The sequence below is a fragment of the Homo sapiens genome, chromosome 16 (assembly GCF_000001405.40).
Source record: "Homo sapiens chromosome 16, GRCh38.p14 Primary Assembly".
NCBI lineage: Eukaryota > Metazoa > Chordata > Mammalia > Primates > Hominidae > Homo > Homo sapiens.
Window position 1 is genome coordinate 27,661,994 of NC_000016.10, and position 17,993 is coordinate 27,679,986.

Genomic DNA, 17,993 nt, shown 5'->3' on the forward strand with positions numbered 1-17,993 from the left:
ATATATATATATATATATATATACACATACATATATATATATATATATACACATACATATATATATATATATATATATACACACATATATATATACACATACATATATATATATATATATAGTATAAATGGGGTTTCACTGTGTTGCCCTGGCTGGTCTTGAACTCCTGAGCTCAAGCAGTCCGCCTGCGTAGGCCTCCCAAAGCATTGGGATTACAGGCATGAGCCACCATGCCCAGCCTAATTCACAATTTCCTGTGGACCAAACAAAATATACCTGCTGGCCAGATGTGGCCTTTAGACTACCAACTTGCAACTTCTGGTTTAGATAATGAAAGCTTTGTCAGTTCCTGATGAGACAGGAGGAAGAGCTCTTTCTCCTTGACAGTGGCTCTTGACCTAGCCCGTCTGTTACCCAGAAACATCAAAGGCCCCCAGGGATGACCAACTGGACAGCTCAGACCAAAAGACGGCTGGCTTGTGGCATTAGAAAGGGCCCTGGGCAGGTGGGTCAGACAGCACAGGGCAAGCTGAGCAGGAATAATTTGGTGATGAGCATGAATGATGTGAAATGATGCTGAACAAGCACTAAATGCCCATGAATTACAGGTCCAGAAGTAAGAGATGTAGTGATCCCATCCCTCAGTAGGGTGTTTCTACAAATGAAGGTGCCAGATGAATTGAACTTAATAAAGCATATTTTTCAATCTTAATGAAAATAAAGATTAACTTCTGAATCAATATTAGAATAACTTTAATATCTTGCATTTATAGCCGACCTAGAATTTCTTAGGTATGATGTGAAACAATTTTTACATTATTTTGTATCATTTTATCTAACACCTAATACATGGGTGCCTTCTCATTTAAAAAGATTCAAACAGTTTAGAAGTAAGTTGAGTATAATATGAAAAGCTGTCTATATCTACCCAGCCAAACCATCTCCAGCTTTTACTTTTATTGAGCAAGTATACGTTATTTATTTAGTCATCCATTCATTCATTTACTCATTTATTTATTTTTTTTTCAGCTTATTTCTGCTTTCATCTTAATTCCTCTCTTAAACTTTTTGGTATCACATTGGTTCTCCCTGACCTCCACCACTGTAACCTGACTTAAGTTAAATGTTTAATTTATTTTTTCTTTTTCTTTTCTTCTTCTTTTTTTTTTTTTTTTTTTTTTTTAGGTAGAGAAGATGTCTCACCATGTTGCCCAGGCTGGTCTCAAACTCCTAGGTTCAAGTAATCCTCCCGCTTGGCCTCCCAAAGTGCTAGGATTACAGGTGTGACCCACCACACCTGGCCCATTTAATTTTCATACTATTTTCTAATATATCAATTAGGCTATACATTTTCCTCTGAATATTGCTTTGTATTTACTCTGCAAATTTTACCATATAGTACTATGTAATACTTTCATTGTCATTTATTTATTTATTTATTTGTTTATTTATTTATTTATTTATTTTGAGACAGAGTATTGCTCTGTCGCCCAGGCTGGAGTGCAGTGCAACAGAGTCTTGCTCGGCTCACTGCAACCTCCGTCTCCCAGGCTCAAGTGATTCGCCTGTCTCACCCCGCCAAGTAGCTGGGACTACAGGCATGTGTCACCACACCCGGCTAATTTTTTTTTTTTTTTGTATTTTTTGTAGAGACAGAGATTCACCATGTTGGCCAGGCTGCTCTCGAATTCCTGACCTCAGGTGATCCGCCTGCCTTGGCCTCCTAAAGTGTTGGGATTACAGGCGTGAGCCACTGTACCTGGCCATTTATTTCTAATTGGCTTATTAGTTTAGGGTGTTTTTTTTTTCCCCTCCTATATGTTTATTTTTTCATTTAAGACAGGGTCCTGTTCTGTCACCCAGACTGGAATGCAGAGCATGATCATGGGTCACTGCAGCCTCAATCTTCTGGGGTCAAGTGATGCTCCTGCCTCAACCTCGCAAGCCGCTGGGACTACAGGCATGCGCCACCATGCCTGGCTAATCTTTTAATTTTTTCTTAGAGACAGGGACTTGCTATGTTGCCCAGACTGGTCTTGAACTCCTGGCCTTGAGCAGTCCTCCCACCTCGCCCTCCCAAAGTGCTGTAATTACAGGCATGAGCCACCATGCCCAGCCTCTCTTCTTTATGTAGGAGAGTTTTCCCAAACGTTCTAAGTAAACAGTTTTTTGTTTATCTAGTTTTGTATTTTTGCTATCGTTTTGTATTAGTTTCTAATTTGGCCACATTATGATTTAAAATGGCCTAAAATTAAAGATGGTTTAATTTCTGGGTTTTGAAAGTTACTGAGGTTTTTTGTTTGTGGCCTACCAGATGATTTTTATGAATGTTCTATGATATTTCAAAAGAATAATCATTCTCTTTTTGGTACAAAGTTCTCAATATATCTGTTAAATCACACACGATTAGTTGTAATACTTAACTGGGTGATTCTTAAAGTGTGGTCTCAGACTACCTATATTAGCATCACCTGGGCTGCTTATTAAAGCTGTGAATTCTCACACCACACCCATAGGTATAGAACTGGATTTGGAGGAGGCATGGAGTGCTCAGAGCCTGCATTTTTAATAAGCTTCCCTGGAAACTCTCATACTCATTAGCAAACCACCGCTGTAGGGCTTGACTTACTTTTTGTCTCTTTGATCTGGTTGATATCTGTGAACTTGTCAGTTTTCCCCTGCATTTGTTTTTGCCTTATATATTTCAAATATCTGTCATTCTTTGCATATAGAGTCAAAATGTTTTTTGAGAGAGTGTACCTTTCATCCATATGAATATATCTGTCTCAAAATCTTTGTCCCATTGAAAACACTAAGTGGGCCTTTTCAGCAAAAATTTCAGGGCCGTAAAAACTTCCATAGAAGGAGCAGTGTGTGCATGTGCATGTGTAGGTGAGTTCAGCATCAAGATGTGTGACAGGGAGCCCTGAGGCTAGAGTGGGGGGCCGCTTTTAGGGCTGCAGCCTGTCCCCGGCTATATTAAGTAAGGGGCAGCAGAGAGGCTCACCCGTAGGCTGAAGCCAGGGGCATCTGCACGCTTGTGTCTTTCTTTAGCACTGGAAATTTTTCATTTATTATTACTACTGTTATTATCATTCTCTTTCATTGTTTCTGCTCTGTTCTCCGGAGGTTGTTTTTTTTTTTTTTTCTTGAGACAGGGTCTCACTCTGTCACCCAGGTTGGTATGCAGCAGCGCACCTCCTGGGTTCAAGCAATTCTCCTGCCTCAGCCTCCTGAGTAGCTGGGATTATAGGCATCCACCACCACGCCTGGCTAATTTTTTGTATTTTTAGTAGAGATGGGGTTTCACCATGTTGGCCGTGCTAGTCTCGAACTCCTGACCTCAAACGATCCACCCACCTCAGCCTCCCAAAGTGCTGGGATTATAGGCATGAGCCACTGTGCCCAGCATGCTTCCCCCTTTACTAATTTCTCTCTCCTGCCACCCTGTGAAGAGGTGCTTTCTGCCATGATTGGAAGTTGTCTGCAGCCTCCCCAGCTGTGGAGAACTTTGAGTCAACTAAACCTCTTTTCTTTATAAATTACCTGGTCTCAGGTATTTCTTCATAGCAGGGTGAGAACAGACTAATATACCATGTCTGTGTTTTTATTATTTTTTTTTTTTTTTGAGACAGGACACTCTTTCCCCCAGGCTGGAGTGCACTGGTACGATCTTGGCTCCCTGCAACCTCCACCTCCCAGGTTCAAGCAATTCTTCTGTCTCGGCCTCCCAAGTAGCTGGGACTACAGGCGTGTGCCACCACGCCCGGCTAATTTTTGTATTTTTAGTAGAGATGGGGTTTCACCATGTTGGCCGGGCTGGTCTTGAACTGCTGGCCTCAGGTGATCCACCCACCTCGGCCTGGCAAAGTGCTGGGATTACAGGTATGAGCCACTGTGCCCAACCCACCATGTATGTTTTAATCTGCAGTTTCCTTTTCCTTTAGTTCTTTATGGATGTGATCTCTCCCCTCTATCTTTCAGGAATTCCTGAAATTTTCTAGTCAGCCAGTGGCATTCCTTGATATTTGGTCTTTATCCTGCTATCCCTATCCAATCTCCTTATGGATTGCTCAGCCAGGGTGATGCTGAGGGGTTTGGCCAGGGGCCCACAAACCAGGAAAGCATTGGGCAGTCTCCCAGGCCCATCTACTTCCTGAGTTCATTTTGTCTTCTATCACTCTCTTCCCTAGACAAAGATTGTTTTGGTTTTTCTCCAGTGATGCACTTTAGAGGCTGAACTCCAGGGTACTTTATAAATACACTTAGCTTTGAATTAAAATTCATGGCAGTAAGAAGGTGTCAGAAAACTAAAGATATTGCTCAGGTATTTAAAACACATGTATAATTCAAATTTTCCTAGCCTTAGTTCTATCAAAATTGATGTAGGGGAATGAGTTTTTGTTTTGTTTTGTTTTGTTTTGTTTTGTTTTGTTTTGTTTTTGACAGAGTCTCACTCTGTCACCCAGGCTGAAGTATAGTGGTGCAGTCTTGACTCACTACAACTTCTGCCTCCCGGGTTCAAGCGATTCTCCTGCCTCAGCCTCCTGAGTAACTGGGATTACAGGTGTCCACCACCACACCCGGCTAATTTTTGTATTTTTAGTAGAGATGGGGTTTCACCATGTTGACCAGGCTGGTCTCGAACTCCTGACCTCAAGTGACTTCGGCCTGCCAAAGTGTTGGGATTACAGGTGTGAGCCACCATGCCCAGCCGGTCGGGAATGCGATTTTTAAAATATGCAGAGTTAGGACAGGCATGGTGGTTCACGCCTGTAATCCCAGTACTTTGGGATGCCGAGGTAGGAGGATCACTTGAGTTGACCCTAAAGTTAGGGCACAAGCCACTTTATTATGGACGTGGACTGGCAAGCCCTAAGTTTGGGTTTTTGGCGCTCATTACTCTGGTAATCTGTTATGGATTACATAAGAGATGTTGCCAGATTGTAGATTCCGTAAGTCTGTCTTGTTCATCACTCCATCCCTAGCACCTAGCAGTCACACCTGCTTATGGGGGACACGTATATTCAATAAAAAATATTTGTTGCCATGTGTGGTGGTTTATGCCTATAATCCCAGTACTTTTGGAGGCCGAGGCAGGAGGATCGCTTGAGCCCAGCAGTTCGAGACCAGCCTGGGCAACATGGCAAGACCCCATCTCTACAAAACATACAAAAATTAGCTGAGCATGATGGTGTACACCTGTAGTCCCAGCTAACCAAAAAGTCGGAGAATCTCTTGAACCCAGGAGGTCGAGGTTGCAGTGAGCCATGATCGTGCCACTGCACTCCAGCTTGGGTGATAGAGTGAGACCCTGTTTCAAAAAAAAAAAAAAATGTGTTGAATACATGGATGAATGAGAAAAAAGAACAAATTAATCAACTAACTCTTCAGTGCTGGGTAAAAAGCCTTCATGGTCCAGGCAGATTAATAATATGAATGTGTAAAATGCCTCATATAGTACAAGAGAAGTTAGTGGGAATTATCACAACTAGCAATATATGCCAGACTCAAGACATTCAACTCCCAGTTTTACAAAACTGCCAACCAAATGAGAGACATTATTGGGGTTCCAGGGGCAGGGGGTTGGTTGGGGAGGTCTGGCCTTTCTGCCTGCATGTCAGTGATCTCTACCCCCAAGACTGCTGCTAGCTCTTGAGGACTGTCTTAAAGTTTCCACTGTGGCTTCATGGTCTAAGCATCCAAGCTTCTAATAGGCAGATTCAGTAGCATCTGAGAAATAAAAGATGCCATCATCAAAATTTTAAATTTTCTGTAAAAACTAGAACCCTATTAAAGCAATCACAAAACACTGATTCTTAGCTGTTAATTTCGTTTTGACCCCTCAGCAGCCTTTTTTTTGTGAGCTAATCAGGGCACATTTTCCCATAGCAAAGGTGAGGGCTTGAAGCTCAGCAACTCACCTGGGGACACAGGGTAAACTGAGTGAGGCCCAGAACTTAGACCCAGCTCATTCTCCTTTGTAAGTAGAGTTAGGAGTTTAATGCTTCATCCACTCAAACTTAACACATACATGAACATGTTTAGTGGCCTCAAGGCAGCTTTGTGTCTAAACCTCTTACGGGCAGGTTTATCAATTTTGTGCAAGTCAGTGGACAGTCACTGTGCCCCTGACTTTCATCCCTCTCTGGAGACCAGTTGCTTCCAAGTTGGTACCAGGCAGGGAATAAACATGATCACATGGTTAAGAGTCTGGACTTTAGAGTCTGATATGGTTTGGCTGTGTCCCCACCCAAATCTCATCTTGAATTGTAACTCCCACAATTCCCACATGTGGTGGGTGGATCCAGGTGGGAGGTGATTGAATTATGGGGTGAGTCTTTTCTGTGCTGTTCTTGTGATAGTGAATGAGTCTCAGGAGATCTGATGGTTTTTAAAATGGGAGTTTCCCTGCCCAAGTTCTCTCTCTTTGCCTACTGCCATCCATGTAAGAGGTGACTTGCTCCTCATTGTCTTCTGCCATGATTGTGAGGCCTCCCCAGCCATGTGGAACTGTAAGTCAAGTAAACCTCTTTTTCTTCCCAGTCGTGGGTGCGTCTTTATCAGCAGCGTGAAAACGGACTAATACAGAGTCAGATGGTCATTCCTCCATACCCTGGGTCTGCCATTACTGGCCATGTGACCTTGAACTTGTACTTAAGTCCTCCAGGCCTGTAAGATGAGGAGACCTACTGCACTGGCGTGTTAGGAGGTTGAAATGAAATGAGGTGGCTGGGTGTGGTGGTTCATGCCTACAATCCCAGCACTTTGGGAGTCTGAGGCAGGAGGATTGCTTGAGCCCAAGAGTTTGAGATCAGCTTGGGCAACAGAGTAAGATCTCATCTCTACAAAAAAACTAAAAATTAGCCAGTTGTGGTGATATGCACCTGTAATCCCAGCTGTTCTGGAGGCTAAGGTGGGAGGATCACTTGAACCCAGGAGGTGGAGGTTGCAGTGAGCCAAGGTGGTGTTACTGCACTGCAGCCTGGGTGACAGAGCAAGACCCTTCCTCAAAAAAGAAAAAGAAAAAGAAATGAGATAAGGTACATAGATAAGTCAGCTTAGTGCCTGATAATGTAACAGAAGCTTAGCAAGTAGTAGCTATTGTTTTTGATGTTACAGTTACTGATACTATTATTGCAAAAACTTCATGTTTGATGGTCGCCTGATGTCACTTTTCCTAGTTCAGCAGAAAGAGGAAGCTCAGGCATAGAAGGCATTAATTCACTGACCATCAAACCCCTGCTGCATTTCAGTCAGTGGTTCTTCTAGAAACTACCTTTAAGTCTTTGTATCAGCGTCCGTCCCTCCACCTTCTCCCTGGATCCCCAGTGAGGAGACCCATTTGTGTGCAGTCCCTGTCATCCGATCTCCACCTGCGGTGTTGGCAGCCTGGCCTCCATGCAGAGGGCTTTCTGTTGAAAGGGCTTGAACTTAACATTTTAAACACTGAACACTGAAATCAAATATAACAAGATTTTGAAGCAAAGCTATAAAGTATGTTTTTTCAGAGAAATTTCTGGATGATGGCTTCACAGCACCTGGTAGATCCCACAGCATGGTATCTCTTTGAAGTACAGGCAGATTGGCTTTCAAAGCGACCAGCCCAAGGTCCTCATCTTTCCAGATGGAAAGGTTTTGAACGGCTTCCTCCAGGGAATGTTGCTCCTTAGTTTGTCTCCCCTCTGCCCCTAGGACAGATGGTTTAGATCACGTGAGCATTATAAGGGTCTAGGTTCATCCAGTGTGAGCAAATGCATTTGTTTCCTTTGCGAAGAAGCTGCCAGCCACACCGAATCTAGGCTGCTCTTTTATATATATTTTCTTTGGGGAGAGGGAATTTTTTTTTTGTTTCATTTTTTAAGTTTTTAAAAATAGAGTTGGGGGTCTCACTTTGTTGCCCAGGCTGGTCTCGAATTCCTGGGCTCAAGCAATCTTCCCACCTCCGCTTCCCAAAGTGCCGAGATTACAGGCATGAGCCACTGCGCCTGGCCTATATATATTTTGCAAATACAATCATGGCATTTAAATTTCCATTAATTTAAAAGAAGAAAAAGAAACCAAATTGAAACAGGAGGAATTATTGAAATTCAAATTTCTTTATCACAGGAAATATTATTTCTTAAAATAGCCATCGGTTTAATACATTAGGAAATAAGAGGTTAGAGTTGCCATTTTTAAAAAACTCTAGTTTCCATTTGAGATGCATTTGGGGTTGACTTTCTGGTGTGGAAAATTAGGCCACCCACATTGCCTGCCCTCTCCTGATTTTTGTTAGCTAAGCTAAGGGCTTAGGTTTATAGCATTGCATTCTGGTCCATCTCCCTAATGTGCATAAATGCCTAGTATTTATTCAAACTTTAAGTGGCTACAGCGCTTACCATTAGACCTTTGATCACAGCTTGTCCATGCCTCTATCTTTATTTTGATTTCCTCTTTCATTGGTCTGGATTTTGTCACCTGGGTGATATTTTCTGAGAAGAGCTCATGAATGCCGTCTGTATTCCCTGGGTTTCTGGCTGTTTGAGATGGATGGTGTGTTACTTTCCAGTCTGGACCTCTTGGCTGGATACTTTATTCTCGAGTTAGACAGATGCTCCTCCGTTGTCTTCCAGCATCGAGTGCTGCTGTTTGTCATTGGCTTTTGGGAACCACATGTGTTCCAGGGATAGAGATGATTTTTCCAGGCAGCTGGCTGTCCAGGGTCCTCCACTCCACCATTCCCCGCCACTCCTCTAGGGAATTTATTTATTTGCAAGAAGGAGGGACAAAATTTAAACATAAATGTAAACGTATCATTTTTTTAAATTACAAAATTGGATGCCTGCTAATACTAAATAATTTTTTTAAAAACAAAGAAGAAAAGGAAAGTCCTGGAAAGGCTGTCAGAGAGATCATTGTTAATAGTTGGGTGCTGGCCGGGCGTAGTGGCTCACACCTGTAATCCAAGCACTTTGGGAAGCCACGGCAGGTGGATCACCTGAGGTCAAGAGTTCAAGACCAGCCTAGCCAATGTGGGGAAACTCCATCTCTACTAAAAATACAAAAAATTACTCAGGCATGGTGGTGTGTGCTTGTAAGCCCAGCTACTCGGGAGGCTGAGGCAGGAGAATCGCTTGAACCCAGGAGGCAGAGGTTGCAGTGAGCTGAGATCGCGCCACTGCACTCCAGCCTGGGCGACAGAGCAAGACTCCATCTCAAAAATAAAAATAAAAATAAAAAGTCAGGTGCCTATTTTTCCAGACTTTTTCTATGCATATATGCATACCTACATGTATAGAAATTAACAATGATTTTAAAAATTGAGTTCGTGTTATATGTACATTTTTCAACACGCTTCTTTTTACTTAAATGTATATCTTGATATCTGCCCAAAGAAGTACAAAAGTAGAGCTACCTCATTCTTTGTAAGAGCTGCCTGGGGCTCGGTGAACACCCGCTCTATTAGATATTTAATCCGTCTCTCATTGATAACCATGTGGACCATTCTCTATTATAAAGGATGCCTCAACGATCTTTGTGTACTTAGGACTAAAGGATACATTCCTGGAAGGGCTAGGTCAGAGGGTATGCATATGATTCATTTCTAGTCAGTCATGTCTGTCATCTCTGCCTCCAAAATAGATCTCGAGGCCTCCTCCCTGTCCCCACCTCTGCTGCCACCTTCCTCTTTCACCTGCAACTGCAGCAAAGCTGGTAGCCCTGTTTCCATCCTTGTCCCACCTCCTAAAATCCACTTGGTATCCAAGAGCCATAGAGATCTTTTAAAAGCAGAAATCAGGCCAGGCGCAGTGGCTCGCGCCTGTAATCCCAGCACTTTGGGTGGCTGAGGCGGGTGGATCACCTGAAGTCGGGAGTTCAAGACCAGCCTGGCCAACATGGTAAAACCCCGTCTCTACTAAAAATACAAAAATCAGCCGGGTGTGGTGGCGGGCGCCTGTGATCCCAGCTACTTGGGAAGCTGAGGCAGGAGAATCGCTTGAACCCGGAAGGCGGAGGTTGCAGTGAGCCGAGATCGTGTCACTGCATTCCAGCCTGGGCAACAAGAGCAAAAATCCGTCTCAAAAAAATAAATTAATAAAAAATAAAAGCAGAAATCAGATAACATTGTATCTCTGCCTAGCACCCTTCAGCAGCTTCTCATAGGGCATAGAACAAAATCCACACTCTTCCCTGAGGCCCACAAAGCCCTGTCCCCCGTGACTGCTGCCTCCCTCTAGGGAACACATGCCTTCCAGCCGTTCCTGCCTCCTGGCCTTTGTCTCTGCTGTTCCTACCCCCAAGACAGCCTTGTGCCCCAGACACTACCAGGTAGCTCTTCATCACTCAGCCTTCCCTGACCACCATTCATCAGGGCTTGCTCAGCCAGTCGCCCTGTCACATCATCCAGACAAGGGCTTTCTTCACAGTCCTGGCCACCTCTGAAATGCCCCTGTTTATATTTCTTTATGCATTGCCTGCCTGTCTCCTCCCGCCCCACACTGTATGCTCCTATAAGGCCAGAGGTTTGCCATCTTGCTCTGCACTGCTACCTCTGCCCTTAGCACAGCACCTAAGCACATGAGCATGCATGAAGCCTTAATGAATGGTGGTTGCCTTATTGTCTTCCCCATTGGTTGGGCCATGACAGATGCAAGAGAGTCTGTGTTATGCGTGGATAATCTAGAAGGAGCAAGGAGGAGTGGCGGAGTGCAGAAGTCACAGCTATGCCACTTAATCGCTGTGAGAAGTTGGACCAGCATAAAGGCTGGTCACAGTTCCTCAAATTTGGGGGTATCTCCACAATTCAGTCACTCAGAATGTGGGGCTGCAACATAGTGACGGTCATGAAGAGGCCAGAGGAAGTCTCCTCAACTGACCATGGGTTCAAGGGTCCTAATGCCTCATCCAAATCCTTCCTGAAACTGGCCATGTTTGGTGGCTGCACTCTGCCTTAGACATCAGTTGGGACAATTTGGGGCCCTGGAACTGAGATTTCCTGGACAGTGACAGCAGTCTCCCAGCTAGGAACGTAATCCACAGTGACTGGGCAAGAGTAGGGGCTGCAGAGAGAGGGATGTGCCCATTGTTTTCTCACCCAGCCTTTCCCCCACCCCAGCAGAACAGAACCTAAGTTGACCTTATTTGAGAATTGGGAGTTGGGCCAAGCATAAGAGCCAATAGGCTATCTTGTTTTAACTAAATTCATGTTATCCCAGGGTTTTACTCTACCTATCTGTCTTACAGGGTTTTTCTGAGCATCAAAGGAGAGAAAGGGTTGAAAATGTTTTCTAGAGTACAGAGCATTATTCTACCGTAAAGGATTACTAGTTTTACAGCTGCCGAAATTGTTGTTAAACAGCAGGTCGCCTAGGAACTCATGTTGCCCTGGGAGGAGCAGTGAATCTGTTGCCCCTCCAACTGCCCACCACTGTCAGACTTTGAAGACATAAGCCATGACCTCAGTCTGGTTTGCATGAAGGTTGCGTGAACCAGCTCAATACACTCAATTAGGAGACCTGGTGTTATTTTTTAAAACACCAGTGGTGAACCCGCACTTGCTTTAATCGTTTCTCAGCCTTGACGTTTTGGCTGGATCATTCTTTGTTGTGGGGCTGTCCTGGACATTCTGTTATGTTTAGCAGCATCCCTGGTGTCCATGTAATAGATCCCAATAGGACACCTCTCCCCCAGTTGTGATCAAAAAAATCTCAAGTCATTGCTGGATGTCCCCTGGAGTTGGGTGGGGGGACAAAATTAGTCCCAGTTCAGACCTCTGCTTTAAAGCAATTCTGCAAGGTAGGGATTTGTTCATCTATTTTTATGGATGTCAAGATGCAAGTCAGAGGAGGTAAGTAACTTGCTAAGGGTCCCATCACCAATGTCACCTCCAAGGTACATGAGGGCACTCTGCATCTGCCCACAGCCACCACCCAGTCATCAATGGAATCTATTCAGTCATTCAGCAGATACTGGTCGAGCACCTACTATGTGCCAGCCAGTGTTCTAGTTGCCCAGTAAATATCTGGGTATCTGGGTGTGGTGGCTCATACCTGTAGTCCCAGCTACACAGGAGGCTGAGGTGGGAGGCTCACTCGAGCCTAGGAGGTCGAGGCTGCAGTGAGCTGTGATCACACCACTGCACTGGGCAACAGAGATAATTAATTAATTTTATTAAATGTGTATCACCAATACTTGGTATCAAGGGATGAAAGGGGGAGAACTCTAAAAAGAGACAGCTGTATTCGTTTCCTATTTGCTGCTGTAACAACTTGCTGCAAACTTGGTGGCTTAGTTCTGGAGGTCAGAAATCCAAAATCAGTTTCACTGGTCTAAAATCAAGGCATTTAGCAAACCTGCACGTTGTGCACATGTATCCTAAAACTTAAAGTATAATAATAAAAAATAAAATCAAGGCATTGGCGGGACTGCATTCCTTCTGGAGGCTCGAGAGGAAAGCTCATTTCCTTGTCTTTTTCAGACTGTAGAGGCCACCTACATTCCTTGGCTTGTGGCCATGTCCTCCTGTTTCAAATCCAGCACTATAGCTCACTCCTCCCTGACCTCTGCTTCCATTCTTACGTATTCTCTATTTGATGTTGATCTTCCTGCTTCTCTCTCATAAGGACGCCTATGATTACACTGGACTCACCTGGATAATCCAGGCTCCTGTCCTCATCTGGAGATTCTTCACCTAATCATATCTTCAAGGTCCCTTTGCCCTGTAAGGCAGCATCTCCTCAGCTCCCAGGGGCTAGGATATGGACATCTTTGGGGGCTATTTATCCAGCCTACCACAGCCCACCCTCTGTCCCCCAAAGATTCACCTCCATACCACATGCAGAATACATCCATCCCATCCCAAGTTTTCCAAAACTCTCAATCCATTACCGTAACAACTCAAGTCCAGAATATCATCTAAGTCTCGTCAGCTCAAAACTCCAAAATCTCATCATCTAAATTGGTTATGGGTAAGACCCTGGGTATGACCTGTCTTGGGGCAAAATTTTTCTCATCTGTAGATGAGTGAAACTAGAAAACAAGTTATCTGTTCCCAAATACAATGGTGGATAGGTGTAGGATAACAGTTAACAACATTCCTGTATTAGTCTGTTCTCACACTGCTAATAAAGACATACCTGAGACTGGGTAATTTATGAAGGAAAGAGGTTTAATGGACTCACAGTTCCACGTAGTTGGGGAGGCCTCACAGTCATGGCAGAAGGCAAAGAAGGAGCAAAGTCACAGCTTACATGGTGGCAGGCAAGAGAGCTTGTGCAGGGGAACTCCCCTTTATAAAATCATCAGATCTTGTGAGACTATTCACTACCACAAGAACAGTATGGGGAAACTGCCCCTATGATTCAGTTATCTCCACCTGGCCCTGCCCTTGACACATGGGGATTATTACAGTTCAAGCTGAGATTTGGGTGGGGACACAGTCAAATCATATCAAAATTCCCATTTAAAAGAAGGGTAAATAAAAGGGAAAAAAGAGGAATCACCAAACCCAAGCAATTTTAAAGCCCAGCTGGGCAAACTGTTAGTTTTCAAGGCCTGGGAATAATTATCTGTGGTTCGGGGCTCTGTTCTCTTGGCCCACAGCTCCATCCTTGGAGTCATTCTTCCTTTTTCAGGAAGAGCAGCCTGTGTTTGTAGATGAGCCATTTCATCAGCCAATTTCCTGCCTGTAGAATTTTGGGGAGTCTGACAACCTTTCGTTTTGTTCTTTCTTTCTCCCATTCAGTCCAAGCTGGCAGTATTTCTCCTGGTATGACATTCTCAAAAGTCATGTGGGACTCCCATGTATGTCTCTAGGATTTGCTCCATTAGACAAGGGACTCCTCTGCAAATCTTTCCTGGAAAATCCCCTCTCTGTCCTGGCTTCTGCTGAAATGTCTAAGGGGATCCATGAGCCACATGTCTAATCTCCTGAAAGAGCCCTCCATACAAATGAATACTTTGCATTTTGCATCTTTCTGAGGTACAAGAAAAAAGGTTGTCCAGCCACACCTTTAGTTTTCTCTCCATAGCATACTTTTCTGACAGTGAATCTCCTAATTTTAGAATCTTCTGCAATCTGGATAGGCTGAAAATCATCCAAATTGCCAAGTCCTGGTTCCCTTTTCCTTAACAATTCTTCCCTCAGTCTGTCTCTTTCCTCTCACATTTTACTTTAAGCAGCAGGAGAAAAACAGACCAAATCTTCAGCACTTTGCTTGGAAATCTCCTGAGTTAAATATCCAAGTTCATGTCTTACATATTCTGCTTTCCACAGCACTGTAGGACACAATTCAGCTAAGATTCTACTGCTACATAACAGGATTCCCTGGGCTCCAGTTTTCAATTACATGTTCATTTCCTGAGTCCTCACCAGTGGTGCCTGTAACATCTATATTTCTATCATCGGTCTGTATAGGATGATTTCTCTAAGATGGTAAAAGTGTTCTATACACTCAAGGTGTTCCTCACTTCCTCCTGAGCCCTCAGGAGTTCACAGGTTCTAGGGATTAGGATGTGGACATCTTTGGGGAGCCCTTATTCAGCCTACTGCAATAACTATTAGGTTTATTGGTCAATTATCAAAGCTTTATTGATTGCTTCCCATTTTCTTAGAACTACATTGGATACTATATAGGCTACAAGGGGTAGTATAGCTAGGCTGACCAAACATACTGGTTTGCCCAAACAGTCCCATCTATATATATGTGTGCATGTGTGTGTGTGTGTGTGTGTATCTCCAGGCTAGAGTACAGTGGCAATCATAGCTCACTGCAGCCTCAACTTCCCAGGCTCAGGTGATCCTCCCACCTCAACCTCCCGAGTAGCTGGGACTACAGGCATGCATCACCATACTCAGCTAATTTTTGTTTATTTTTTGTAGAGACAGGGTCTCACTGTGTTGCCCAGGCTGGTCTTGAACTCCTGTTCTCAACCAGTCCTTTTGCCTCGGCCTCCCAAAGTGATGGGATTACAAACATGAGCCACTGTCCCAGCTCCGTTTATACTTTTTGTCCCAGTGTAAATATAGTAGTGCTCGCTTTCTCTCTGAAATGTCTTGGTTTGGGTGATTCATGTCCTGGTCACTCTAAATATAGATCTTAATGCTTAGCCATAAGGAATCTACAATTTCATGTAGACAAAAGAAACATGAAAAAAATCTTGAAGCAGTTGTAGTTAAGTGCTAAATAGTATGACATTTAGATGCCGCTCAACACCCTGCAATATGCAGGTCAGCCCCTAACAACTACCTGACAGACATTTTACCATCTGGAAGTTTAGGGTCATTTGGAGGCCTTTGGGAGTTCATATTTCAAAGTGTGGTCCCTGGACCAGCAGTGTCAGGATCACCTTATTAGAAATGTAAATCCTCAGGCCCCATCCCAGACCCACTGAATCAGTGGGTGGGACTCCACAATCTGTTTGAACAAGCCCCAGATTTTAACAAACCATATTGTCTGTTTCTCTCTCCCTCTCCTTCACATGTGCACTCCCCCCCACCCCACCTTCCCCCGGCATCTCCGGGATACAAACACCACAGTTAATATTAACAACATTGCTCTGTCCAGGGAGTTACTCATTTTCCCCTGCCCTTTGTTTTCTCGTCTTCAAAGCAGTGACATCACAAGGGTTGAGATAATATTGTTAAATGTTAGTTTGGGGAGAATAATTCTTTGGTTCAAATGATCTATTTTCAAATAAGTTTTTCTCAAGGTACCATATTTATCTCTCATCTCTCTTCTGGGCTTTTTGCAGGAGCTGAGAAGAAGCCTGGAACTTAGTGTAAATCTACAAAGGAAACAAAAGGATTGTTCCAGCGATGAGTATGACTCTATTGAGGAAGACATACTCTCTGAGCCTGAGCCAGAGGACCCGGCACTGGTGGGCCATCCCAGACATGACCGCCCTCCTTCCAGTGGCGACTGGACTCAGAAAGATGTTCACGGGGAACAGGAGACAGAAGGACGCTCTTCTCCAGGCCCAGACACCCTCGTGGTGCTGGAATTTAACCCAGCTTCCAAAAGTGAGCTCTGTCTTGTATATCATTTCTTTGCCATTGGTGTCTCTGCATCTAATAGCAGGACTTAAACTTCCAGTGGTCCTTTGAGTTCCTCTTTGGGTAGAGTGTCTCACAGGCCAGGGAGGTATATCAGTCAGGTCTCTGTTGATTGCAAGACGCAGAGCTTCCCAAAGGCTTCCTCAGGGCCCTGAAATTCCAGATGGTAAATTCCTGGCAGATAGTTGGAGGTGTCTGTTCTGTACACTGTAAGATGTTTTGCAGCATCTACATACCAGTTGGCTAATACAGACTAGCTTAAGCTAAGGGACTATTTATTGACTTGAGTAACTGAAAGGTTCTGAGATGTAGCAAGACTCATTTTCTCCCCTCTCCCTCTTCGTCTTCTTTTCCCTCTCCGTCTCCATCTCTCTCCCATCTCCCCTCTTCCCTCTCCTTTTCCCTTCTGGCCTCTTCCCTCTGTCTTCTCCCATCTCCCTCTCCCTCTTGCTCTCCTCCTTCTCTGCTTTCCTGTGTCTTGCTTCCATTCTTAGTAGACTATCCAACATACAAAGGCAGAATTGCCTTTAAATAAGACACTGACTTTGCAACCCCTCAGAAAGTGAATTTTTCTTTCCCAAAAGGCCCAGCAAAAGTCCCAGACCTGGTTCTCCAACCCACACGGGGTCACATGCTGTCTTGGATTGGATCACCGTGGCTCTGATGGGCCAGGTCCAGCCAATAGGACTAAGGGGTGTGGTTATCACCACCCAGCCACACGATAGTGCGGTAAAGCTCTCATCTCCAAAAGAAACTCAAGGTGAACCTGAAGGAGGGAGGATGCTGGCACGCAGAGACAGCAGTGTCCAATGGAGGAAGTTTGTCAAGAAAGATCTTGGAAAGTAGAACGAGCAAAACGATTGGTGAGGGGCAGGGAGGAGAGAGAAGGACTTGATGGGGAGAGGCCTACTTGCAACAGTCTTCATCCTCTGTTCCTAAGCTTTGACTCGGGCTGGCCTGGCCTCTGCCTGCACCTCTGTATCCTATTCATGTGCACCGTCAAAGCTGGGTGTGCCAAGAGAAGACAAACTTTTCTGAACCATGATGAACCTAAGGAAAGAGAAATGAGGGAATGTTTGGAATCAGACAGTGTGTCAGTTTGCGAGGGTTGTCATGACAAAGTACCACAGACTGGGTGGCTTAAACAGCAGGAATTTACTCTCTCATAGTTCTGGAGACTGGAAGCCTGAGATCAAGAGTCAGTTTCTTCTGAGGCCTTTTCCTTCTTTGTGGCTTGTAGACAGCCATCTTCTCCCTGTGTCTTCCTGTGGTCTTCCCTCTGTGTGTGTCTGTGTCCTAATCTCCTCTTCTTAGGAGAAGTTATATTGGATTAGGGCCCACCTATATGACCTTGTTTTTAGTTAATTACCTCTTTAAAGACCTTGTGCCCAAATACAGTCAGGGGTACTGGCGGCTAGGATTTCAATGTATGAGTTTGGAGGGGGCCAGGCACAGTGGCTCATGTCTGTAATCCCAACAGTTTCGGCAGCCAAGGCGGGAGGATCACTTGAGTTCCAGATCAGCCTGGGAAACATGGCAAGACCCCATCTCTACAAAAAAATGTTTTAAAAAATTAGCCAGACGTAGTAGTGCATACCTTTAGTCCTAGCTACTTGGGAGGCTGAGGCAGGAGGATCACTTAAGTCTGAAAAGTTGAAGCTGCAGTGAGCCGTGATCGTGCCACTGCACTGCAGCCTGGGTGACAGAATGAGACCCTCTCAAAAAAAAAAAAAAAAAAAAAGTTTGAAGAGGACACAGTTCAGCTCTGGAAAATCCACACCCAATAACTGACATCTCCAGAGAAGACATTTGTCCATCAGACATGCTCTCACCATGTTTGTTCTCACCCCAGACACTTGCTTGAGCTGTTCCCTCTGCCCAGATGACCACAGTCCCTTTCCTCTCCACTCAGAACCCTGAAACCTGGCTCTCTGCTTTTCCCTCCAGACCGCACTCA

General features: G+C 44.4%; 1 protein-coding gene and 1 long non-coding RNA gene across 18 annotated transcripts in view; one reads left to right on the forward strand and one right to left on the reverse strand.

The window, feature by feature from the left end:
• Positions 1 to 17,993, forward strand: part of KATNIP (katanin interacting protein) — a 230,201-nt gene that overhangs the window by 111,850 nt on the left and 100,358 nt on the right. For all 17 annotated transcript variants that reach the window (XM_005255201.4, XM_005255202.4, XM_011545775.3 and 14 more), the window contains one exon: positions 15,736 to 16,003. In XM_005255201.4, coding sequence (XP_005255258.1) covers positions 15,736 to 16,003 — 268 coding nt within the window. The remainder of the gene's footprint in view (positions 1 to 15,735; positions 16,004 to 17,993) is intronic.
• Positions 737 to 17,222, reverse strand: LOC107984874 (uncharacterized). Its single transcript, XR_001752113.3, has 3 exons — positions 16,947 to 17,222; positions 8,382 to 8,735; positions 737 to 7,691 (listed from the first exon to the last, which is right to left on the reverse strand). It is a non-coding gene; the product is annotated as an uncharacterized LOC107984874 (long non-coding RNA).